At 56.0% G+C, this 24,738-nt stretch overlaps 2 protein-coding genes, 1 long non-coding RNA gene and 1 pseudogene across 10 annotated transcripts in view, besides 4 other annotated features; 2 read left to right on the plus strand and 2 right to left on the minus strand.

The window, feature by feature from the left end:
* DGCR5 (DiGeorge syndrome critical region gene 5) overlaps positions 1-16,560 on the plus strand; it is a 60,775-nt gene extending 44,215 nt beyond the window's left edge. Inside the window, exon 6 of one of the 3 annotated variants that reach the window (NR_110533.2) lies at positions 16,100-16,560. This is a non-coding gene — a long non-coding RNA (DiGeorge syndrome critical region gene 5). Of the gene's footprint in view, positions 1-2,614; positions 5,616-7,679; positions 8,874-16,099 lie in introns of those variants that run through there. The other 2 variants (NR_026651.2, NR_024159.2) reach the window with 2 other exon arrangements.
* Positions 3,158-3,659: an enhancer, noted in NCBI's record as "H3K4me1 hESC enhancer chr22:19005353-19005854 (GRCh37/hg19 assembly coordinates)". NCBI's record gives its function as "activates a minimal SCP1, AML or CMV promoter by ChIP-STARR-seq in primed H9 embryonic stem cells {active_cell/tissue: H9 hESC(primed)}" and the evidence as "EXISTENCE:reporter gene assay evidence [ECO:0000049][PMID:30033119]".
* Positions 4,970-5,469: an enhancer, noted in NCBI's record as "H3K4me1 hESC enhancer chr22:19007165-19007664 (GRCh37/hg19 assembly coordinates)". NCBI's record gives its function as "activates a minimal SCP1, AML or CMV promoter by ChIP-STARR-seq in primed H9 embryonic stem cells {active_cell/tissue: H9 hESC(primed)}" and the evidence as "EXISTENCE:reporter gene assay evidence [ECO:0000049][PMID:30033119]".
* On the plus strand, positions 14,842-15,539 carry FAM246C (family with sequence similarity 246 member C (gene/pseudogene)). Of its 2 annotated transcripts, NM_001396027.1 has the most exon segments (3): positions 14,842-15,082; positions 15,084-15,118; positions 15,120-15,539. In NM_001396027.1, coding segments are annotated over 3 exon segments (696 nt in total).
* On the minus strand, positions 16,846-20,240 carry CA15P1 (CA15 pseudogene 1; annotated as a pseudogene).
* Positions 21,337-21,506: a silencer, noted in NCBI's record as "silent region_13451". NCBI's record gives its function as "represses an Ori minimal core promoter by ATAC-STARR-seq in GM12878 lymphoblastoid cells {active_cell/tissue: GM12878}" and the evidence as "EXISTENCE:reporter gene assay evidence [ECO:0000049][PMID:35858748]".
* Positions 21,604-24,738, minus strand: part of DGCR2 (DiGeorge syndrome critical region gene 2) — an 86,127-nt gene continuing 82,992 nt past the window's right edge. For all 5 annotated transcript variants that reach the window (NR_033674.2, NM_001173534.2, NM_001173533.2 and 2 more), the window contains one exon: positions 21,604-24,439. Coding sequence is in view for 4 of the 5 variants with exons in the window: in NM_001173534.2 (NP_001167005.1) it covers positions 24,183-24,439 (257 nt within the window). In the remaining variant the exon portion in view is untranslated. The remainder of the gene's footprint in view (positions 24,440-24,738) is intronic.
* Positions 21,990-22,610: an enhancer, noted in NCBI's record as "H3K4me1 hESC enhancer chr22:19024185-19024805 (GRCh37/hg19 assembly coordinates)". NCBI's record gives its function as "activates a minimal SCP1, AML or CMV promoter by ChIP-STARR-seq in naive H9 embryonic stem cells {active_cell/tissue: H9 hESC(naive)}" and the evidence as "EXISTENCE:reporter gene assay evidence [ECO:0000049][PMID:30033119]".

A 24,738-nucleotide genomic window follows, 5' to 3' on the forward strand; every position in this document is an offset into this window, starting at 1 on the left:
AGTTGTAACTCTGTGATACCCACCCTCCCCTCTTATTATTTTGAAGCAGATTCTGGACATCATATCATTTCATCCATAAATATTTTATTATCTTGGAAAGAGAAGGATTCTTTTAAAAATATAATCCTAATACCATTATCAGTCCTTAAAATAATTGATAATCATTCCTTAAATCATACCTTATTCAATGAGTATTTAAATTTCTAACAGTCTTATAAATATTTTTGTTTTATTTACTATCTATTTTTATGTTTGGATCAGGACTCCCATAGGTCCATATATAATTGGCTGATGTGTCTCTTAAATCTTCTTTTTTAAATCTATGGGTTTAACCCAATTCTTGCAGTTTAATTTTTGTGGAAGCTGGTCACGTGACCTATAGAGTTTCTGAGCATGTGGATTTTTATATCACAATATCCCCATGACGTTTTTGCCCATCACCCTTTGTTGTGTGTATTTATTGTAAATGGCATTGGAGACTTATGGGACAGATTCAGGTCCCCTGTCCCCCCAATTTGAAAAAAAAAAAAAAAAACAACCAAAACACCATGTTGACCAGGCTGATGTCGAACTTCTGACCTCAGGTGATCCGCCTGCCTTGGCCTCCCAAAGTGCTGGGATTACAGGCATGAGCCACCGCATCATTTAAATGTACTGAAAGTCCAGGCATGGTGGTTCAGAGCTATAACCCTAGTACTTTGAGAGGATGAGGCAGGCAGATCACCTGAGGTCAGGAGTTCAAGACCAGCCTGGCCAACATGGCAAAATCTTGTCTCTACAAAAAAAAAAAAAAAAAAAAAATTAGCCCTGCGTGGCGGCGCACGGCTCTAGTCCCAGTTACTTGGGAGGTTGGGGCATGAGAATCCTTTGAACCCCGGAGGCAGAGGCTGCATGCAGTGAGTTGAGATGGCACCACTGCACTCCAGCCTGGGCGACAGAGCAAGACCCTGTCTCTAAATAAGTAAATGTTGCCGGTAATCCTAGCACTTTGGGAGGCTGAGGCGGGTGGATCACCTGAAGTCAGGAGTTCGAGACCAGCCTGACTACTATGGTGAAACCCCGTCTCTACTAAAAATACAAAAATTAGCTGGGCATTATGGCATGTGTCTGTAGTCCCAGCTACTCAGGAGGCTGAGACAGGAGAATCGCTTGAACCCAGGACGTGGAGGGTGCAGTGAGCCGAGATTGAGCCACTGCACTTCAGCCTGGGTGACAGAGTGAGACTCCATCTCAAAAAAAATTAAATAAAATAAAAAATAAAAATAACAGCTCCCTAACAGCTCCGGAAAGATAAACAGAAAACAGAAAATGACATGCTCAGCCCTTGAGGCCAAAATGCCCTTCCCCAGAGCAGCTGCCAGAAGACAGGGAGCAGGATCGGGTTGGAGGTCACTTCTGGGTGAGGGGGAGAATGGTCAGACCCGTGGCAGGGGTGTTGGAGCCTGGTCGGCCTCACTGGAACAGAAGAGAGCTGCTTCATGATGCTCAACTGACAGGCAGAGCCTCGCATAACCCAAGTTCTCATGGTTCAGAGAGGCCAGCCAGTGCGGGGACAAAGACAGGCACGCACTGAAATGGTTTCCTGGAAGACGGCCCGGTTGCATCTCTCAAACGGGACCAGATTGGAAGGGAGACCAGCTGCTTTGGGCAACCGAGGCTGCTTCTGGGTGAACTCCCAAACTAGATGGTGCCGAGAGCCCTGGACCTGGCAGCTGGGCTGGACATCACATGGCTCTGTATTCCAGGAAACGGCATCTCAGTGCTTGTCTGGCCAGTTCTCCAAAAGAACCATCCACAGGCCATTTTTCCATTCCCTTCCTATGCACAGACTGGGCTGGGCCTGATCAGAAAACTCTCCCTTAGGGTTTTCAGTCACTGGCGAAACTTGAGCCCGGCACTGAGGATAGGATGTTAAAATGTGACTCTGGGCCAGGCGGCGGCTCATGCTTGTCAACCCAGTGCTTTTGGGAGGCTGAGCTGGGAGGGTCACTTGAGGTCAGCAGTTCAAGACCAACCTGAGGAAAATAGATCTCTACAAAAAAATAAAAATAAAAATTAGCCAGCTCTGGTGACATGCACCTGTAGTCCCAGCTACTTGAAAGGCTGAGGTGGCTTGAGCCCATGAGTTCAAAGCTACAGCTATGATGGTGTCACTGCACTCCAGCATGAAAAACAGAGTGAGACCATGTCTTGAAAAAAGGAACAAACTAGGCATAGAAGAAACATACCTGAAAATGGCCAGGCCCAGTGGCTCATGCGTGTAATCCCAGCACTTTGGGAGGCTGAGGTGAGTGGATCACCTGAGGTCAGGAGTTCGAGACCGGCCTGGCCAACATGGTGAAACCCCATCTCTACCAAAAGTACAAAAATTAGCCGGGCGTGGTGGCGGGCGCCTCCCAGCTACTCCGGAGGCTGAGGCAGGAGAATCACTTGAACCTGGGAGGCAGAGTTTGCTGTGAGCTGAGATTGCACCATTGCACTACAGCCTGGGTGACAAGAGCCAGAATCCATCTCAAAAAAAAAAACCTAGAAATAATAAAAGCTGTATACGACAAAGCCATAGCTAACCTACTACAGAATGGGGAAAAGTGAAAAGCGTTTCCTCTGTAAACAGGAACAAGACGAGGATGCCCGTTCTCACCACTTTTATTAGACATCACACAAATATGCAAGAGAAAAAAATAAAAGCCACCCACACTGGAAAAGAGGACATCAAATTATCCTTGTCTGATGAAGATGTGATCTTGGATTTACAAACATGTAAAGCCTCCACCAGAAAACTCTAGACTTGATAAATAAATTAATACAGTCATTTGCAGGATACAAAATCAACATACAAAAATCAGCAGCATTTTATACACCAATAATGGTCTAGGAAAGAAATTAAGGAGGCAATCCCATTTACAATAGCAACAAAATGAAAAATGATATGCCACAGAGGAAATTTTACCAAGGAGGTGAACGATTTCTACAAGGAAAACTACAAAACACTGATGACAAAGTTTAAGAGGACGGAAAGAAATGGACAGTCATTTCATGCTCATGGAAGGAATTCATAGCATTAAAATGACCACACTGCCCAGAGCAGTCTAGAGATTCAATACAACCCCTACCAAAATACCAGTGTCATCTCTCACAGAACTGGAAAATCGTAAAACTCATATGAAACCAAAAAAGAGCTCAAAGAGCCAAAGTCATCCTCAGCAAAAACAACAAAACTAGAAGCACCCCATTTCACTGCAAATTAGAATGACAAAATTTTTGACAAGTGCATGGTAACCAAAACAGCATGGTCCTAGCATAAAACTAGACACATAGATCAATGGGACGGATGACAGAGCCCAGAAAGACAGCCACATAGTCTTGGGGCTTGTGTCTCTCCTGCTGTGCATCCATGCTGGGTGCTTTACATACAACAGGCAGACAAGAAGTCCCTGTTGCAAGTGAGGACAAAGTGTGGGAAGGCCGTGAGGGTCTGCAGTCCCAGATGGCCTTGGCCTCACCCCGCAGTGCGCTTTTGCACCAGAGTGCCACCTTCTTCTCCAGGTCCAGGTCTTCAGCAGTGACCCCAGACCCCAGCTGTAAGGGAGGTGGCAGCATCAGAGGCTCCCCTTGCCTGAGTGGCAGCAGAGGAAACTTGCATCTATGGGGCCTAGAGGCCTGGGATGTGGGGGAGCCATTCCTGGGGGCAAGTGTCTGCCCTGGTGCTGCATCTGCTGCCTTTTCACACTGGGTGAGACCCCAAGAGACAGCCTGAGGCCGGTCCTCACTCACTGTCTTTGAGGACCTGAGGGGCAGCTGACAGTGGGATGAGGCTGGCCCCCTCCTCTTTGGTGACAGGAAGCCTCCCATGGAACTGTAGGAGCTCACGATGGCATTTTGTTTGGTGCACGAACTCATCCAGGAGGTCTGGGATCTCTGGTTTTATCCGACTTCTGACCTCTGGGCATGGAGGTCTCTCTGCAGAGGCCCAGGCCTGGGCACGAAGGGAGAGAGGCCTCCATTGTCCCACAGGGGCCTAAATGCAGACTGTGCATCCCCGGTGCCCTCAGGAACCCTTCTCTGATCATCAGGATTCTCTTGGACTCTGGGGTCCTTGTCCTGCTCAGGCATCCCTGCCCCCCTCTTCAGGAGGGCCCTCAACACGATCTTCTCTGGACAGGAGTCTGGGGCACAACTGGATGTTGTGGGCCCCAAAGGGGTGACTCCCTGCTCCTGGGCCCCACAGAGAGTCCTTGTGCTCAGTGCACTGGCTGAGCTGCAAGACATCCTGGAATTGGGAGCACACAGCACCGGCTTGCTGTGGTACCTGTGCATTCAAATTGAAGGCAGGATCGCCAGCAAGGAACACAGGGCTTGCAGGATCACAGAAAACCCTTGGAGTTGTTTTGACACACCACTGATGCCAAGTGTCTGGGTACTTGTAGGATGGCCCTGCCATTCCATCCAGGGGCAGTGGCAACAGGGAGATTCCACAAACAAAGTGAACTGGGGGATGGGATGAGCAGGCTCCAGGCAACTGAGCCCTACTGGCAGGCCCTTGGCCCCCGGGGCCGGGACAGGGGTGACAGACACAGAGTGCCCAGGTAACCACTCCTGGGAGCAGTGGGGAACCGTCGGATGCTTCAACTCTTGAGAGCTGGGCTCTAAGCATCCGCCTTAGCTGCCAACTTGGCCAAAGGCTATGCGAGCAGTTTCCCGTTGACGGGCAATGCATCTTTCCAACCTGAGCGAGTGGGTGTGTGTGCAAAGATGGTGCGAGTCACGGATCTGCGCAGGAAGGGTGACTTTAAGGGATTAGCATGGCCAGGTATGCACACAAGGCACCTGCTGGCAATGCCTTGGTGGGGAGCGGGCAGTGCACACAAGAGGTACTGGAGGGAGAGGCGCGCGGGAAGAACAGGCGCGCACAATGGCTGCAGATCCACCTGTGGATCGCTGAAGATTCCTGCTGAGGGTTGAGGCTGCTGGGCTGGAGGACTGTATGGTCCATGCATTGTAATGTCCCCTTCTCTCCCTGGCCCGGAGCCCCAAGAGCTATCCGGACTCTCTCCAAGACCTGGTTCTGGCCCAGCAAAGAGGTCTCGGCAGGGGAGCAGGATTCCCGGCCCAGCAGCTGGCTCAGGAGGTGACAGCTTTGGGATTCGCATCTGAGCATCCTCCTACTCTTCTCCTGGGAACTCTGTTGGGGAGGGTTGCTCAGAACAGAAGTGCCTGGGACGCCCAGATCCTGCTGGAGTGGCAGCTGGGGTGATGGCCAGGGCAGGCTGGGAGGGACATACTTTCCATAGGACCCAGTGCTTTCATCTCCGTGCAACTGACCAAGAGAAACCAAACCCAAACTCCTTCCTTTACACAGACCTATTTGAGGGAGGCTGGGTATTGTTTGTGTATTTCAACCTAACAAGATTTTGAGATAGTTGGAATGCAGAAGGAGACAGGAGGACTCAAGTGTCCTGTCTTTTGCAAAAATGTCAAACGTAGCTACTCAGTCTCTTTTTTGTTTTTTTGTTTGTTTTGAAGACTATGGTTATTTTGCAAAATATATATTATTTGAGTTTCTCTAGGTGCTATTTTTAGATAAATTAATATACTTTTTTCATCAGCACATGAAACGTTCTTCAAAACAGATCCTTTGTTAGTCCACAAAAGCTGTCCCTACACATTTTAGGAAATCATAATCATAATCATTCCAAAGATCAGACAACAGAGGAATAAACCTAGAAATGGACATCAAGGCAAACTACAGAACCTATACGCATACATGAAAATTAAACCCCACCCTCCTGAATGAGCACTGATTCAATGAAGAAATTAAAATGAAAATCCGAAAATGTTTTCAAACAAATGAAAATGGAAACATCATATACCAAAAGCCTTTGGATTCAGCAAAATCAGTGCTGTGAGGGAAGGTTGTAGCAATAAATACCTACATCCAAAAAGTAGAAAGATGAAAAATTAATAAACTTATGATGCACCTTAAAGAACTAGAAAAGCAAGAACAAAGCAAAACCAAAATTAGCCCATGAAAAAAATAATAAAGATCAGAGGAGAACTAAATAAAATAGGGTCTCAAAAACAACACAGAAATCAAGAAAAGGAATTACTGGTTCTTAGCAAGAAAAACACACTTTGGGTATTTCCTTTTTTTTTTTTTTTTTTTTTTTGAGAAAGCTTTTTTTTTTGAGAAAGCGTTTTGCTCTTGTTGCCCAGGCTGGAGTGCAGTGGCAAGATCTCCACTCAATGCAAGCTCCACCTTCCAGGTTCAAGTGATTCTCCTTCCTCAGTCTCCTGAGTAGCTGGGTTACAGGTGCTAACCACCATGCCCAGCTAATTTTTGTATTTTTAGTAGAGACGGGGTTTCACCATGTTGGTCAGGCTAGTCTCAAACTCCTGACCTCGTGATCTGCCCGTGTCGTCTCCCAAAGTGCTGGGATTATAGGTGTGAGCCACCGTGCCTGGCCTCAAAATATTCTTTTGAGGGACTCTTGCATACAAGCCCCAAGAGGCAGGTGCAAAAATGTCCATAGAAACACAGTAATAGAAAAAAAGAAAATCCAGACTGATTCAAATGTCCATTAACAGGAGAATGAATAAATTAGTTGGAATCTTCTTTTCTTTTCTTTTCTTTTCTTTTTTTTTTTTTTGAGACGGAGTTTCGCTCTTGTTGCCCAGGCTGGAGTGCAATGGCACAATCTCAGTTTGTGGCAACCTCCGCCTCCGGGGTTCAAGCCATTCTCCTGCCTCAGCTTCCTGAGCAGCAGGGATTACAGGCATGCGCCACCACACCTGGCTAATTTTGTATTTTTAGTAGAGACGGGGTTTCTCCGTGTTTGTCAGGCTGGTCTCAAACTCCGGACCTCAGGTGATCCGCCCGCCTCGGCCTCCCAAAGTGCTGGGATTACAGGCGTGAGCCACCACTCCTGGCCATTAGTTGGAGTCTTCTTATACAGTGGTGAGACTGAATCAGCCACAGTTGCACAACAGAATGGATGAAGCTTAGAAGTAATGTTGGGTTTAAATGGCCAGTCCCAGGCTGTTACATTTACCATTTGCAATAACAATAGGAACTAAGGTAACTGAAGAATCTAACAAAAACTATGCAAGACCTGTATAGAAAAATTATAAAACTTGATTGAAAGACATTTAAAAAATCTAAATAAGAGAGATAATACATAATCTACTCTTTGTGGATTGGGAGATTCAGTATTATAAAGTTGTCGATTCTCCCCAAATTGTTCTACAGATTTAATGCAAATCCAGTAAAAAATTCAACAAGAGGCTGGGCGCGGTGGCTCAAGCCTGTAATCCCAGCACTTTGGGAGGCTGAGGCAGGCAGATCACAAGGTCAGGAGATCGAGACCATCCTGGCTAACATGGTGAAATCCCGTCTCTACTAAAAAAAAAAAAAAAAAAAAAAATGAGCCAGGCGTGGTGGCGGGTGCCTGTAGTCCCAGCTACTCAGGAGGCTGAGGCAGGGAATGGTGTCAACCCAGGAGGCAGAGCTTGCAGTGAGCCGAGATCGAGACACTGCACTCCAGCCTGGGCGACAGAGCGAGACTCTGTCTCAAAAAAAAAAAAAAATTCAGCAAGGGGTGTGTGTGTGTGCCTGTGTGTGTGTGTGTGTGTGTGTGTATGCAAGCCATAGACAGAATACTTTTTTTTTCTTTTTGAGACAGAGTCTCACTCTGTCGCCCAGGCTGGAGTGCAGTGGCTCGATCTTGGCTCACTGCAACCTCCGCCTCCCAGGTTCAAGTGATTCTCCTGTCCCTGCCTCCTGTGTAGCTGGGATTACAGGTGTGCACCACCACATCTGGCTAATTTTTGTATTTTTAGTAGACACAGGGTCTCACCATGTTGGCCAGGCTAGTCTCCAACTCCTGGCCGCAAGTAATCTGCCCACTTCAGCCTCCCAAAGTGTTGGGATTATAGGCGTGAGCCACCGAGCCCAGCTAGTACACAGAATACCATTTTTTACTTAAGTATATTAATCTAGAAGAGTTTTTTTTAAAATACAGTATACCATTTTTATCTATAACACTTAAAGACAATCAAAGCCAAATTATGCTGTTTCAAGATACCATATACTTAGAAAAACATCTATAAAAAGCAAGAGAAACATACAAATCAGGCCCATCTGGAGAGAAGGGAGTGAAGCATTGCGCTGATACGGGGATAAATATGCTGGTTGGGTAGACAGGCAGTCCTTATGCTTTTGGCTGACGTAGATGTTACGTACTATTTCATGTGTTATCACACTCTCCAGTAAACACGTAACATAAGAGAATAATTAACCACTATCAAGCGTTCTCATCTTGAGACAGGAAGATGTAGAGGAAAGACCTTGATGTGTGTGTCAGTTACAAGGATGTACACCAGTGACTGACATGACTTGGTGCAAATCTTGGGTAGAGACCTATACTTAAGCTCCTCACCCCCACCTGCCGAGGCGTAAGGGCTCAGAGGGGGTTCCATGGGGTGGGCGGGAGTGGTAAGGGTCGAGGTGCAGCCACAGCCTGGCTCTGTGCACACCCCCTCCCTCCCCCTGGTCCCATGTGCACACCCTCTCCCTGCCCCCTGCCCCTTGTGCACACCCTCTGTACCCCCCTTCCCGCCCCAGCCTGTGTTTGCAGTGCTACAGGGTGGCTGCAGCCTTTGCCTCCCACAGCTCCTCAAGGTCAGAGGGCTGGGAACCCCTGGGATGTGGCTGGGATGAGGACCCTGCCCCTCCTCAGGCATTTCCAGGCAAGGGGCACAGAGACACAGCCAGCCCAGCAGCTGAGCCCCTCCTATCAGGCCAGGTGGGAAACTGAAGCATGAACACAACCCCAGACTGGAAATAAAAAGCCGTCATGTACTGTGTGCCTACTGAATGCCAAGCCCTATGCCCTATTCTTTAATGTCATCTTTAATGAGATGTCTTCACTCAGTTCACCACATGATAGTAGACAGGTATTTATGATGCGCCTACTGCATGCTGGGCACTTTTCTGGGCCATGAGGACTCAGGGAGGTCCCTGCTCTGGTAGAAGTCAAACCCGACAGGAGACAGAGACTAGGGGCCCACACACCAGGAGGAAGAACCCAGTGCAGAGAGTGCCAGCAGGAAGCCACAGGGGCAGGGAAGGCGCTCCTGGGAGGGTGGGTGGCTGCGTCCTGAGGCTGAGCAGGGGGAGCTGGCCTCGGGACAGGATGTGCGCAGGCGTGGAGCAGGAAGTTCCTGGAATGATGGGCAAGAGGGAGCAGGTCACTGGGGGCAGGTCTAAATACTGGGGGCTGCATTGGGATAGCAGAGGCCTCGGACAGGCCCGCTCAGCATGTAGACTCCCCTCCCTGGCCCCTTCCCTAGGATGACAGTGGAGGTCCATCCCCAGGTGGTGGTGAGGGCAATCCTGACACAGAGACCCCAGCCCAGCTGGCAGGGGAAGGGGAGCCCCCAAGGACCCCTGTATGTTGGGGCGTGTCCCGCCAGGCGGCCCTCCATGGTGCCCAGCAGCAGCCCTGCTTGCGGACCCTCTTTAGTCCCCACTGTTAAAAAAATAATTCAGTGAAAATTGACACTAGCTGGGCATGGTGGTAGGTGCCTATAATCCCAGCTACTCGGGAGGCTGAGACGGGAGAATCGCTTGAACCAGGGAGTCGGGAGGTTGCAGTGAGCCGAGATGGCGCCACTGCACTCCAGCCTGGGTGACAGAGTGAGACTCCGTCTCAAAAAAAAAAAAAAGAAAAAAGGAAAAATGACACTTGCCAAAGCGCTGTAGGGAAGACTGTCCAGGACCGTGTCACTAGGCATAAGGGACCACGGTGATGAGATTCTGCAGTGGGTAAGAGACTGGGCTCAGCCTCGAATACAGCATGGGCAAGTGGGATCGGACCGTCAAGGAGCAGGGGGAAGACTATCCAGGACCGTGTCACTAGGCATAAGGGACCACGGCGATGAGATTCTGCAGTGGGTAAGAGACTGGGCTCAGCCTCGAAGACAGCATGGGCAAGTGCGATCGGACAGTCAAGGAGCAGGGTGGGGGGCAGCGCATGGAAAGTGACTAAGAGGAAGCATCAGCAGCCAGGGATTCTGGCTTAACTCCCCTAACAGAATTCTTGCTGAAGGCCGGCCAGGATGGCCAGACCGCACCTGGGGGACAGAGGGGGAACCCGATCAGATGTCAAGGACGGGGGGCTTCTCGCTAAACTGACTTTGCAGGATTCTTGCTAAAACTAGAGTTTATAAGGAAGTGCTCAGATGTGCCTAGGAGAAGGCTCAGGAGCCTAAATAAAGCTTGACCAAGCAGAGAATCTTTGTCACCAGCTGTGGTGAGAGTGAGGCCCAGAGTGGGTCAGGGCTTACCTGCTCAGGTTGTGCAATTGGGAGGGGTCCATCAGGAGCCCGGAGTCTTCCCACTGGGGGCTGAGTCTGGGCCCTCAGGGCACATATAGGTAGATGCTGTCAGACCCGACACCCCATGCAGTGCAGACTGGGATGCTGGTGCCTGTGGCACAGACTGGTCAGACCCACCCCAGGCTAGACATTCCTTGCAGGGAGAGCTGAGGCTGCTGACACCAGGAACAGACAAACAAGGTCATCACCAGGTAATGAGCTTGTTACCCACATCAGGCAAGGCCATTGCTGGGTAATGAGTTGGCCTCCTGCAGAGCCACCTGCGCTGGGATGGTTCCCAGAGATCTGGCTAGCCAGTGCCACAGGAGGCCGGGGCACAGTTCCAGGGCCTAGTGGGCAAGGCAGGGGTATTCAGGGACAAGGTGCACCTGAGTCCCCACAGGAAGCCCCAGACCCTGCAGTAAGACCTGGAACAAGTCATTCTCCTCTCTAAGCTCTCAAAGAAGAGGTCAGCTCAGGGGTCTGGGAGGCAAGGTCTCCTAGAGTAGACTAAGCTGGCCGCTGCCATGCTAACACACACCCTCCCAGCCAGCCGCTGGTCCTGACAGATGAGGAAACTGAGGCTAGGTGTTTTCATGAGGCCTCTGAACCCAGAACCCAGTACCCAGTGTCCTGAGCAAAGCCCAAGCCAGACCTGCCAGCTTATGTGTACAGAGGCCCCACTATGCAGCCTGCACTCCTGGGGCCTAAAAGGACCATCACCTCCCCTTCTAAGAGGCTGGGCACAGGGGCTGGGTCCCAGCCAGGCCACCCTTCCTCCTCCTCCAAAGGCCCAGCAGCAGCTGCTCCCAGAGCAAGCAGCACAGTCGCAGCAAAGGCTGGACAAGTGTCCTGTGCTCTGTGGTCTGAGCAGAGGGCCAGGGGCCGTGACCCACATGGCCCCTCCAGGAGCAGCTCCAAGATGAGCCTTCCTGTCCCCACCAGTGTGTCCGGGACCTCAGGGTGGATCAGCCGCACCTGCCGGCTGCTCCTGTTCCTTGCTCTTCCTGGGGCTCCCCACCACCTTTGGGAGGCAGCTCCAAGACCCTGCTGCCTCCCTTGCTTACCCTCAGGCCCCTGCTGGGTGTGCCCCCTCCCCACACAGACCCCTGAGCCAGCTTCGAGGACTCTGCCTGCATCTCCACGTCCACTCTGATGACTGTGAAGCTACAGTCACACTCTCCGCCTCCACCCCCGCCCTGCCGGGTCCCTGCAGCAGCTCTCAGAGGCCCCCACAGCCCCTCCCACACACAGAGCTCGCCTGGCCCTGCCGTCTGAGCGCTCCCCTGGCTCCCAACCGCCCTTGGGCTCTGGGACATAAAACCTCCAGCCAAGGTGGCTGCCAAGTTTTATTTAATAGCCATAGAGCACAAAAGGGATGACAATTAAGTCACACGGAGAGACTGCCCCATCGGGACCCCTGGCCAAGCTAAGCAGAGGAGCCCTGGGGTTTCCTCTGACCCCCCACTGTGAATGCATTACTGACGGGCAAGGTGGCCAGTTGCCCACCCAGCCTGCACGTCTGCATGCACAGAGCTACAGCCTGGGCCCAGGGACAGCCCCGGGAGCCGGTGGCTTCCCACAGGCACAGCCAGCCTCCCCACCCCCACCATGCCTGGCCCCCGGCCCAGGGCACACTGAGGGGAACAGGAGGGGAAGGAGCAGGCCCTGCACTGGAGCCTCAGTCAGCTCCTCTGTGCCAGGGGCAGCTGGAGCTGGCTGAATTTGAGGAACTTCCCGGAGGAACTGGAGAGCAGACCTGTGTGCGCGCCCCGCTCTGCCACGTTCCCTGAGGGACACACTGCTTTGACCAGCCCCCACCCCATCTCCTCTCCGCCAGTCCCCGGTGTCCACCCCAGCCCCGCTACCGATGAAGCTCAAGCCAGGGTCCCCATCACCTGCTTCACGGCCATCCCTGCACTTGAGCTCAGGGGCTCAGGGTTGTGCTGACACGCCTGCCTGTCCACCCCTCACCGACACCTCTGCAGTCCTCCTCAGGGCCCAACAGGACCCCCAGGACCCCGCTCCCATTCTGCCCTTGCTCCTGCCAACCTGTCTTCTCTATGCCCATGACTTTGGAACCCTCTGCCACAAGTGCCAGCCCCCACATCTGTAGCCCCTGCAGGAACAAGCCCTAATCTGGACTCATTGCAATGGCTCAGCTTCTCTTCCAACCTGTCCATAAACCTCCAGGCAGAGATCACAAAACTAACAGCTCTTTCTGCAAATCTGGACTCTCTCCTGCACCTTCTTCACCGTCCAGGCCTCCCTGTCATCCGTCCTGGGGACCTCAGAGATCTCTTCATTTCACAGGTGAAGACTTGGCTCAGAGAGGGCAGAGCCCCTGGGTCACACAGCCCGTCTCCAGTAGGGCTGGGGAAAAGAACCCAGGGCGCTCTTGTTGGCAGTGTTTTAATGACTGGGGGGAGGGAGAGAATGGCTAATGAGGCTCTAGGGATCAGCACAGCCAGCTGCTGGAGGTCCCAGAGGACGGGTGACTCAGCAGGAATGGGGGAGTCTGAGGGGTTGACAGAGTGCCCAATTCTCACCTCCTCCTGCACCTTCCAGAGAGACGGGCTGCAGGGAGTGATTGAGTGGATGAACATGACTAGAGGGACCCAGTCTTCTCCTCAGCAGCTGCTTGAGGACAGTATTAGCGGTCCCCTCAATCCCCCCCCCAACACATGCACACATGCACTGACCTGCAGGGGCCAGATCCCGGTGGACCCGGGGACACAGCTTCCAGGGGCTGTCTTGCCATGTCCCTTCCCAGATCTGCCTGGATTCATGCCAGGCCACCCTCCACAATTTGCTGAGGGAGGCCCCAGAGTCCAGGGCACCCAGAGTGCTAACTAGCCCCTGGGGGTACAGGGAGAACAGCATGCTGTGTGGGGGATACTACTCTCTGCCCATACCTAGGGCCCTGTGGCGGCCACAGGCAGCACTGCTTATGCAGAGGCACTGGGGTGAGAAGGAGTAGGGTGCAGTAGTGAGGGCTCCACAGAGGGTGGAAGGGCTGCAGGGGAAGGCAGACCAGCAGGGATGCCATGAGGGCCTCAGATGCCAGGCTGCAGAGGTGGACGGGCTGGCCAGCTCCTCTCCCCAGCCTCCTACTGTAAAATGGGAGAGGATCCCAGCCCTGCTGATTCATCCACTCACTCCATGGCAAGACAGCCACTGACAGCTCTGTCCTGGGGCCCACCCGGGCCTGGCCTCTGTGCAGGCTAGCACTCAGTATGCTTAGTGCCACACTCGGCCCAGGAGAAATGACCCAGCCCTGGGCTCAGAGACCCCACAGTGGGTGGATGGAAAACAGTCATTTAAATACAACTGTGAAGGGTGCTGTGGAGGAGGGGCTCGAGGTCCCCAGTGTGGGATGGGGTGGTCATGGAACGTTTCCCTATCTAAGTGGGAAAAGTGAGAGCCACCAGGAAAATGGCGGGGGTGGGGGGGGAGAGGAATTATGCAAAGACCCAGAAGGATGAAGAAGACTGTTGGATTAGAGGAGGTTAAAGACACAGACAGGCTTGGACATGGTGGCTCATGCCTGTAATCCCAGCACTTTGGGAGGCCAAGACAGGAGGATCACTTGAGGCCAGGAGTTCAAGACCAACCTGGGAAACACAGTGAGACCCTATCTCTACAAAAAAAAAAAAAATTAAAAAAAATTAGCCGGGCATGGTGGTGCACAGTTGTAGTCCCATCTACTCAGGAGACTGAGGTGGGAGGATCGCTTGAGCCCAGGAGGTGGAGGCTGCAGTGAGCTATGATTGCACCACTGCACTCCAGCCTGGGCAACACAGCAAGATCCTGTTTGTAAAAACAAAACAAAACAAAACAAAAAACCCAGCTTGAGATGGCCAGGGATTTCCAGAGGCCCTAGGCAGACCGCCTTGGAGAGTAAGGGAGACCCTGAAGAGCTCCCATGGAAGGGCCAGCAGCCTGGGGCTGGAGATGCCACCTGGATGGATTCCTCCAGCTGTGTGGACTAGGGGACAGGGTGAGGAGATAATGGCCTGGACTACATGGAAGGACGTCGCCCTGAGCCATTGAAAAGGGCTGTGGGGTCCATGACCACTCCTGGCTTTCCCTTGACTATGATGGAGACAGTAGCTTCCAGTGTAAAATGTGAGCTCAGTTCCTGACTCGTGTCTAGCGGGTGGTGCCTGGTCTTTGGCTGGCGATGCTCCATGTCACCTATGCCCAGAAACTGGGCCATGCCCTTTGTGAGGACCTGCCCACAACGTCGTCGTTCCCGCAGGGTCCCCTGGGAACCGGGCTGCCCGAGACCCGGCCCTGCCGGGGTTCCCTGCGCCCCAGACCGGAACCCCCAGGGCTTTGGTCGTTCCCACAGCCGTCCCGCGGGCCCCCTCCACGGTGCGTCGCCTGGGCCCCAGCGGTCGCTAGGCTGCAGCCTGGGGCTCCCGGCCATCCCGGGCGCTGGCGGCGGTGGAGGCAGCAGGGCGGATGGCGGAGCCCGGCCGCCCGTGGGCCCAGGCGCGTAGTGCGTACAGAGCCAGCGAGGTGCTGCGGCGCGGCACGGGCCGCCGGCGGGATCCGGGGCCGCAATCCAATGGGCCGGGCCAGGAAGACGCCCGAGCCCCGGGCCGGATGGCTCGCCTGCGCGGCCAGCTCCGGGCCGAAGCGGCTTCGCGGTCCGAGGTGCCGCGGCTGCTGAAGCTGGTGGAGCGTGCGGGGGCCGGGGCGGCCGGGCGCGGGCGAGAGGACCGGCGCGCACAGCCGCGGGCTCCGTGTGCTCGGTATGCGGGGAGCCCCGCGGCGGGGCCACCTACCCGGCGGGGGTCCTGGAGGTGAGCGAGCGGCGGCTGCAGGAGGGCCTGGCGGCAGTGCGCGAGGAGCTGGGCGCCGGGATTGAGGCGCTGCGCGCGGAGCTTCGAGCGGAGCTGGATGCCCTGCGCGCGCTGCTGCCGCCGCCGCCGTCCCCGCCTGCCCGCCGCGAGCCCCGCGCCGTCCCCCGCGCCGCGCCCCGCGGCCCGACCCTGCCGCGGACGCTCGGCACCGTGAGCGCCCTGGTCGCCGCCTCCAGGCCCGCAGACGACGCCCCGGACGGCCCAGCAGAATGCGGAGCGCACCGAGCCCCGGCCAGGAAGAACCACAAGAAGATGCCAGTGCCGCCTGGGGCCCCGCAAGGTGGCGGGGACTGAGGGCGGCCGCACAAGGGCAGCCTAGGCGAGGTGCGGAAGGCGTCGCGCTGGCTACTCTGGTACCCCCAGGACGGGGCAAGTGAGCAGATCGGTCCCCCTCGTGGAGCGTGGCTCTGAGTCAAAAGGGTGCCCGGGTGCCGCCAGTTAGGGCTCCGGTACTGGAAGGAGGGGGTGGGCCACGTGCGTCTAGGGAGTGCAGCTGGCAGCCGGGGTCCTTGCCAGAGACTGAGTCCGGCTAGAGAACAGGGTGGAGCCCCTTTGGACCTTAGAGCTGGGCCTTTGGGCCTTGGGTCTGGGTGGGCCTTTGGGCCTTGGGTCTGGGTCAGCCTTTGGGCCAGGGCTGGGTCAGCCTCCAGGGAACAGCCGAGACTCCTCTTCCTTGGGGTGACTGCAGGTTCTTTTTCTTGCAAGGTCTCAGTGAGGAGGCAGGGTCTCCACGCACTGGAATAGTGTCAAACCACACACAAGAGCACAGAACCCAGGGACACAGGGCGGCTGAGACACTCAGCTGGTGATGGTCCTCAGGATGGTGTCAACCAGTATGTAATCACATTCCACAGGGCACCAACTGGACAGAGGCCTCCGGTCAGCCTCACTCTGACTGCAACCCCCTCTCACTGGACAGCATCACCTGGACACAGAGCCTCACCTAGTCTGTGTCCCATGGACACAACTTTGCTTTGGACAGTGACACCAAGAATACTCACCCCTTTACTTAGCCAGACCACAGGCAGCCACCTGGACACAAACATCTCTCCAGAGTCAGCCTCCACACAGACTCCACAGCAGAACTCCCAGGGAGGCACTGGGGCATGGCTTCAGAGCACCAGGCAGCGCTCCGCGGTGCCTAGCACCCGCTCAGCCAGGGCAGCCTGCAGCGGAGCTTGGAGCCAGCAGCTTCTCATCTCTTGGCCTCGGGAAATGTAGCTGGAGTCATCATTTAGCAGAGCACGGTGTCCCTGGGTTGGCCACCCAGCTTAGTTTTAAAATAAAATAATGTAATCTTGGCCTAATGGTGGAATTTCTGACTGCTAGATGTTCTCCTTCCATCTGACCAGGGGATTCAGACACAATGTATAGGATGAGGGTGGGGGCCCTTCTCCCTCTGAGAGGAACCTGGAGAGGCCCGGGTTCTGCTGAGGTAGGAGAGGGTCACTCAGAGGGCTCCCACGGAACAGACAGGCACACTGAGGCCTCAGTGGGATTAGGGCAGGAAATGCCCCTCTTGCAATGGGGGACCACGCCGGGTCACGCACCCACCCCCTCCAGGCTACATTAGGCTAAGGTCACTCTGTGCATTATTTCATTATTTCACATGGAGGGTCGCCCACGGTTGACAGAACCACAGGCTGAGCCCCAGGCCCATCAGAGCGCAGTGCACAACTGCTAGGGTGGGGGAAGAGCAGGGGGCTGCTGCGGGGACCGAGGCTCTCGGAGAGGCCAAGACTGCGTGCCCCTTAAGAGGCTGCTGTGGGCCGGGCACGGTGGCTCAAGCCTGTAATCCCAGCACTTTGGGAGTCCGAGGCAGGCGGATCAGGAGGTCAGGAGATCGAGACCATCCTGGCCAACACGGTGAAACCCCGTCTCTACTAAAAATACAAAAAATTAGCCGGGCCTGGTGGCGGGCACCTGTAGTCCCAGCTATTCAGGAGGCTGCGGCAGGAGAATGGCATGAACCTGGGAGGCAGAGCTTGCAGTGAGCTGAGATTCCACCACTGCACTCCAGCCTGGGCGACAGAGTGAGCCTCCGTCTCAAAAAAAAAAAAAAAAAAAAGAGGCTGCTGGGGGCGGAAGTTACCCGTGAGCGGTATGGGGTGAAAGTGGGAGGGTCCAGCCTGGGGCAGGGTGTAGAACAGGGTCATCTGAGGGTGCAGGGCAAAGAGATCAAAACGGGGTGGGAGAGGGGCAGCGCCTGCGGGAGGAGCCAGGCAAGGCCCGGGGAGGGGTGTGGGGGGCGAGGGGGGACGGTGGCTCCACCTGCACCCACCGGATGGGTATGGGGTCCTCGAAGACGGTCCAGAGCACCGTGGGCTCGCAGTCAGGCGGGGTCAGCGACCCAGCGAAGCGACAGTAGCTCGAGGTGTTGGGCCGCATCGACGCCAGCGGGAAGGTGGACATCAGATTCACTGAGAGCCCCGGGCGGCAGAGGGAGGGGGATTGGAACCAGCCTCCCTGTGCCCTGCTGGTGCCATCCCCAGCAAACCCCCCGCCCCTGAGCCGGAAAACGACCCGGTGGCTCCTCACCTGGCTCAGGCACCTTCCTCAAGCCCGACACTATGGCGCAGAAGTTGGTGTTGCTACAGTCCTGCTCCTGGGAGGGGCTCCAAGTGCGAGGGGTTCTGAGTGAGGGAGTCTCTGAAGAGGGAACTCAGCTGGGGTACTCTAAGCAGGAGGCTCCCAGTGGCAGGAGGCATCTGGCATCTGGGAAATGGGGTGGAGGGTTCTCGCCGCCACTGGCCCTGCCGATTCAGGCATTCCCACCGCCCCATCCTCCCACAGATCCTATAGACCCTAGAGATCCCCCCACGGACTCCACAGGCCTGGCCTGTCCACTTCCAGGATCCCCATGGACCCCTTTTTTGGAAACATACATAGAATCACAGCCCTGCCTTCACCGCCAGCAGCACCTCCAGCAGCAGGGCCTGCACTCGAGCCCATCACCGTGGCGTGGTGCCTCCTCCATGCTCTGGTACTTTGTGTTACTGTGGACCACGTGCATCTGGGGGGAGGCACAGATGTGGGAGATACCCAGCTGCCCTCACCTTGCTCTCTCTCACCTCCGTGGGAGCACTCCGGCCACCCCACCTTGTTCCCGAGTCTACCTCCATAGCCTGGCGCTGCCTGTCCAGGCTGTGCTCCGAGTCTGCTCGCCTCGGGCCCCCCCACCGCCGGCAGTTGAAGTGCAGCTGCAGTGCGCGGTAGACAGGCAACAGCAGCCCAGCCTCCCAAATCTCCAGGTGGTTCTGAGGATCAGTGTCCATTCAGAGTAGCAATGAAGGGGAGGAGGCACACGACACCCTCTCTACCTCACCACCTGTCCATCTTGTGCCATTAGGGCACAGGGTATGAGCAGAGGCCCTTCCTCAGGCCAGGTTTCTCCCCAGTGCGGCCCCATTGCCTCCATGGAATGGAACCCATGGTGTCCATGGCTCCTGCTGGTCAGCAGAGCAGAGCTCCACAGACTGCAGGGGAAACCCTTCCCCCCCCCACACCCAGCATGGCATGGAAGAGGGCAGAGGGCAGCCCTCCTGGTGTGGGGCTCTAAGCCCAGCTGTGTGTGGTCAGGGATCCTGGCCCTGCCAGAGACCCTGACTCCTGGTCCTCAGGGGCCATGGCTGGTTGTGATTTGTAAGGTGGGACCTGGCACCTACACAGAGGGTGCATCTGGACTGCTGTGTGAGGATGCTCCTTTCCTCTGAAGCTAGCCCCTGTGGAGGGTTTTTGGCCCTGTAGGTTGTCTCAGCTCCCGTGTGTAGGGGGTCCTGGTCCCTGTGTACACGCAGGAGCTCTCATGCCCTGTGTGGGGCTCCTGCCTCTGCCTAGGAGGGGTCCTGACCACAGGGTGCTGACTTGTGTGGCTGTCATTCTCCAGGGTCCAAGGGCCTGGAGGTGCTGAGTCATAGCCTCGGAAGATGAAGGGCCCTAGGGTAGAGTTCCGCCGGACCCTGTGAAAGTCAATGTTGATGAGGGACTGGCCTGGGCCCCCACAGGCAGGGGGCCAGCTTCTTCCAGTGGGTGGGGACTGCTGGAACAAGGACTGGGGCCTTTGGGGTGGGGGGGGGGTCAGGGAGGCAGCCTGGGGGTGCAGCAGAGAGTGGCCCCCATACACCCAGAGGATAGCCCAGCCTCAGGAAACCTAGCTCCCTGCTTCCCCCACACCTGAACAGGTCACAGCACCCCCCTTCTCTTGTACCCTGCATCTGACCTATCCATCTAGTCTCCCAGTTGGCTGCCCCATGGTGAGATGAAGGTGGAAGGGTCTCCGGCACACAGTTGCACACCCACACTGGGACCTCTATCACCTGCACACACTTGGGCTGGCCACAGTAACGGGCACACCAGCCTTGACTGACTCGGGACCGGCAATCACAGCAGGCCCAGACTCACACACAGGGGGACAGTCACGCACTTGCACCTGATGCCCAGTCAGTCTACTGGGGCAGACGACTACAGACAGAAACCTGCAAAGGCCACAGAGTGCAGGGTGCAGACTGTCTCTTGGCCACTCTTGCACCACTGGCACATGCTCTGGTGGTCCCAGGACACAGACTGATCTGACACAGCCTCACATGACACTCTGTCCTCACCATACTTGAGGTCCTGGGAGTCATAGCACCAGGCACCTATAGAGACAGTGGGCAGGAGGCTGAGCTGAGAGGCCAGTCATCTGGGCCCTCTCCAAGCCCCATCCCATCAGCTGGGGTCCAAGAATGAAGTAGGTCAGGGGTTTAGGCCAGGGGAGGCCAGTGAAGAACCTTCTCTCCTGTCACCCCTACCTCAGTATTTTCTCTCCCCAGTCCCTCCCCACTCCCAGTGGCAAGACCTAAGGGGTGGTGGAGCATGGCAAGAGGGTAGATTGGAGGCCAGACAGGAAGAGTCCTGGTGCTCACTCTCAGAGTCTGCGCCACACCAGCTGCACCGCAAGGCGAGCATGATGCCAGGGGCGTGCGTGGCTCAGTGGCAGCCGCAGCTAGGAAGGACTAGAAAGTGGCTAGACCACGCAGCCAGGATGCTGGCCTGGCTACTACATATTTATTCATTAGCTAGCTGGGCTAGGGGCGTGGCTACTGAGGAGAGGATGGGAGGGGTCGGTGCCCAGGCAGGGCCACCAGGAAGAGCGCGAGCGCTCCAAACTCACCCAGGTGTGCTCTGGTCCCAGGGCTGCACTGATGCCAGCAACAATCGCTGAGGTTAATCCTGCAGGGGAGGGGTGACCTATTATTATCCCCACTTACAGTCCAGGAAACAGAGGCTGGGGACCAGAATGACACACCAAAGCCACCAGCAAGAAAGGTCAAATAGTGAGGGCACCTTGGACCCCAGTGCCCATGACTTTCGGGGCAAGGATGGGAGGAAGGTGTAGGATGTCTCTTGCCCCACTGTGGGCCCGGAACTGCCACCCCATCCCAAGACCACAGCCTCCCTCCTACCCAGGCCCCCCTGCGGATCCAGGCCAAGACGGAGCCCTGCAGGAGGTCAGAGGAGGGGACTTCTTTGCACCCTGCGCCTCTTTCCAATCGCCAGAGGGCAGGGCCCTACCCACATTGGGGATGGGAAGACAGCCCCTACCCAGAGGCAGGGCTCGGGGCTCTGTCCAGAGTGCTGACAGTGACCTGTGTGCTCGGGACTCAACACCACCACTCCACTCCTGCCCCAGCAGATGGGATAAAAAATGAGGGGCCACATCCTCGAGGCTCCCATCCCTGCCAAGGGACTTACCAGTTCCTTTCCTAACCCTGACTCCTCTCGTGTCCGGCCGCAGGACGTCCCCCCAGTATACACATCTGGAGTGCCCCCAGAGCAGGGCATGCAATCACACTTCCTGGGCCCACTACCCTCTGAGACCTAGAGATGGCACTGCTGGACATGAGTGAAGAGGCCCCAGAGGACCTAGGCTACTTTGTAACATTAGGTGGCTTGGACTGGAGGGAGGGGCTGTTTCCAGCCACCCGGATGATGAGGGGAGCTTAGAGGAAATGGCGCTGACGGCCAGGTTCCAAGCCCTGCCCTACCACCCCGTCCCATGCTAGCTCCCAGATGGTGTCAAGCAGCCTTGCCTTTATGTGGATCCTGTGCACGTCAGCAACACCTGCCAAGGCAGCAGCCGATGCCCCAAGCAGGGCTGGGTGCTGCAGGATAGCTGTAGGCAGCTCAGGGCTGCTGCTCTCCCTGCACACTCCACCTAGGGGCTCCAGGCTCAGCTCTGCCTGGTCCTCAGGGGGTTTGATGGACGCCTGCAAGGGCTGCAAACCCTAGGTGCATTCTGCTGAAAGGTGGGTACCCAGCCTCTTCCACCTTAGCCTGTGGCAGCCGTGGGGGCCACACCAAGGACTAACCATGCCTCTTCCGGAACACAAGTTTATTTGGCATTTGGATGAAATGATTCTCACAGCATCTTAAGAAAAGTTAGTGTCAACCCAACCAAAAACTAAAAACCCTTAATGAAAACATAAAAAAACAGGCATCAAGACAATGTACAGTATCAAATCCCACCTCCGCATGGCAGGTCAGAGGGCACCTGGGCTCTGAGAAACCGTGGCAAGCTGGTCCTAGAGGAGGAGGACCCCTGGAGCACAAGGTTCAGCAAGGGTGACCCCGGGACTTGCTGGTCAGACTGGGGACTGCAGCAGGCCTTGCAAAGGGGGCATTCTGGATGGTGGTGCAAGAACAGATGAGCGAGTCCAGCTCTCCTCATGCTCCCAAGGGCCTCCTGGAGCCACAGTGGCAGCGGTGTTCCAGGCAGCCCTGCCATGTGGACCTTCTGCCTGGCCCAACGTGCCAGTGGCCTGAGTGCTTGTGGAGGCCCATGGGGAAGGGGCCACCCAGCAACCCCGGCCAGCCCAAGGCCCACCCTCTGCAGCCTGCATGGTCCACTTTACCCCGTTTCCTCACTGCCCCCTACGTGTCTGACCGGCCCCTAATGTTCCTCTGGTCCCCAAAGGAAGCGTCCCAGTCCCACACATCTCGTGCCAGCCACCCTGTCCCGCACACACAGTTCTGAGGCCTGGCAGGAATCCTCTGAGCTCTCAGGCTCAGGCCCGTGGGGGACTCTGCTGCGTGGTCCTCGGGCCCTCACTGGCCACCTGGCACCCATAATGCACATGCCTGCTGCTCTGGAACCTGGCTGCCCTGCCCCAGTGCATGTGGGATCCACGGCATGCTTCCTGCTTCGTCCTCTGCAGCCAGTAGGGGACTCCTGTGGCCAGGACTTCCTTGTTAAGTAGCAGCCCTTCTCCAAGGGGAGCACAAGCCTGCCCGCACACAGCCTCCAGCATCATGCTCCAGCAGGCCAAGCTCAGGGACAGGCAATTCAGTAACAAAACTCACAGCTCTGGACAGTTCTGGCACAAAGGTCAAGTCTGTCTGTGGGCAACTCAAGATTCTCATTCCACATGGGATGGAAAAAATGGGTCTCCAGCCACAGTGTGAGAATGTGTCAAGAAGTGGACTGTGCATGGAGTCCATCCCCGAGCAGCACCACAGAACTGCATGCTTCAGACAGGCCTCCCAGGTGCTGCCCCGCTGGTCTGGAAAGACTGAGCGAGACAGCACTGCCTCAGCACAGCCCAGGATGCATCGATGACCCTGGAAGAGTGGGCCCCCAGTGACCCGTGAAGTTCCATGTGCCACCCTCACCTGCAGACGCTTGGCCACATACACACACAGAGACACAAACATACAAAGGAAAGATCCAGACATTCAACGTAGAAAAGATATGGATGTGCTAAAAATCGCACAGAACCCGCTTAATCTCCAAACCTCAGAAATGTTAAAGGCCCTGTGTCAGGCAACAAAACCACTGCCCAGGAGCAGGCAACAGGGTCCGTCAGGCAAAAGGGTGCCAGGAAGGGCCCCCAGCCCCTGCGCTGCTGAGGAGGGGCCGGGAGGTGTGCATGCGGCCGCTGGGCACTGAGCTGCAGTAGTGGCGGTGATGTAAGGAGTGGACTTTAAGGAGATAGATGCAGCCCAGGATGGTGGTTTCAGCCACCCCTCCTGCAATGAAGCAACCCTTTATGGCACAAATGGGGCCGGGGGCAGGCCCAGGGGCAATTCAACAGGAGGCAAGAGCCCAGGGCTCCAGAGTGGAGAGACAGGAGGCAGCTCAGTCCCCAGACCCCAGCAGAGCATCTGGGGCCTCGGCCCCACTCCAGAGCTTCTTCCTGAGGGAGCCATGCACAGCAATGCTGGGAGAGGGACTGATGGGGTGGGGTCAGGCCTCCTGCCACAGAGCTGGGCTGCAGAGCCCAGATGGAAAGACACAGTGAAGAGCTCAACCTCCTTCCAAGCTCTCCTTCTCAGGGCTTCAGGTTCCAGAGCCCCAGGGGAGCTCCCAGCCAGGGGCAGGGTCACCTTGATATTCACAACTGGGCTTGTGGGGGCCATCTTCAGTGCAACCGTTGTGACAAAGTCAAGAGGCTGCCTCCCTGAAGCAGACCCACTGCCTACGCCACACTGACGGTCCAGAGGCCCCCTCCTGAGGGCGGCCAGCAAGGGGCACTGTGGCAGCTCCCACTGTGCCTGTCCCAGACTGGGTCAGCAGGTCTCTCTGGACAGCACACTGCACCAAGTAAGCCCACCAAAAACGCATCAGGTGTGGCCATGGCCCACAGTACCTTCTTCATTCCCTGCCTCTAACATGTGCGGTCTGAATGAATTTTGTCACTCTTCTGCCATTTATAAAGGAGAAGACAGTGATCCAAAGCTATGCATGTTTCTGAAGCCCTCAAGGAAGCTCGGTGCAGGCCATCACTTCTTTTGGCAGAAGGCGGGCTGTGGTCTCTATGTACACACGCGAGCCCGCCAGTGACGTGCGGCAGTGCGTGGCGTCCAGGCTGGGACAGGGGCCTTTCAAGTCTCCCCAGGGACCGGTGTTTTCTACAACAGACAGGTGCTCCCAGACCGTTGGGGTACAGGCCAGGCCGTCTACACCACAGTATTGAGGGAGCTGCGGCTGTGGCGGCCACCCCCTGGCAGTGCCTCTGCAGCTGGGGTGCTCCCGCTCTGGGCAGGGTCAGGGGGCACGAGCAGGGCGCTGCTGCTGTCGGCAGAGTCTTCCAGGTCTGCCAGAGAGGCCCCCGCAGTGGGCAGAGGCTGCTCCAGGCGCCGGAGTAATGCACCTTCACTCCCACCATCCCCAGGGGCTGGCAGGCTGACCTCCACAGGCTCAAAAGCATCATCGTCTGCAGGAAGAGACAGAGGGGTGTCAGAGGCAGGTACGGGCCTGGCACAGGGGATGCAGGGGAGCTAGGCAAAACCAGGAGACACTCCTCCTGCCTGAAGGCCCCCCTGAAGCTGGGTGGTGAGCAGGACCTGGGTGGCTCCCCCGGGCCTCAGATTTTGAAGGAGGAGCCTGCCCCACATGACACCTGTTGTACCTACTGCCCCCTGTGGCTGGGAACCTGGTATATGCAAGGTGCAGGGCCCATCTCACAAAGGCAGACACGGGCCTGTCCCACCATCGGTGTGAGGTAGGGGAGAC

Source organism: Homo sapiens, chromosome 22 (assembly GCF_000001405.40).
Source record: "Homo sapiens chromosome 22, GRCh38.p14 Primary Assembly".
Classification (NCBI taxonomy): Eukaryota; Metazoa; Chordata; class Mammalia; order Primates; family Hominidae; genus Homo; species Homo sapiens.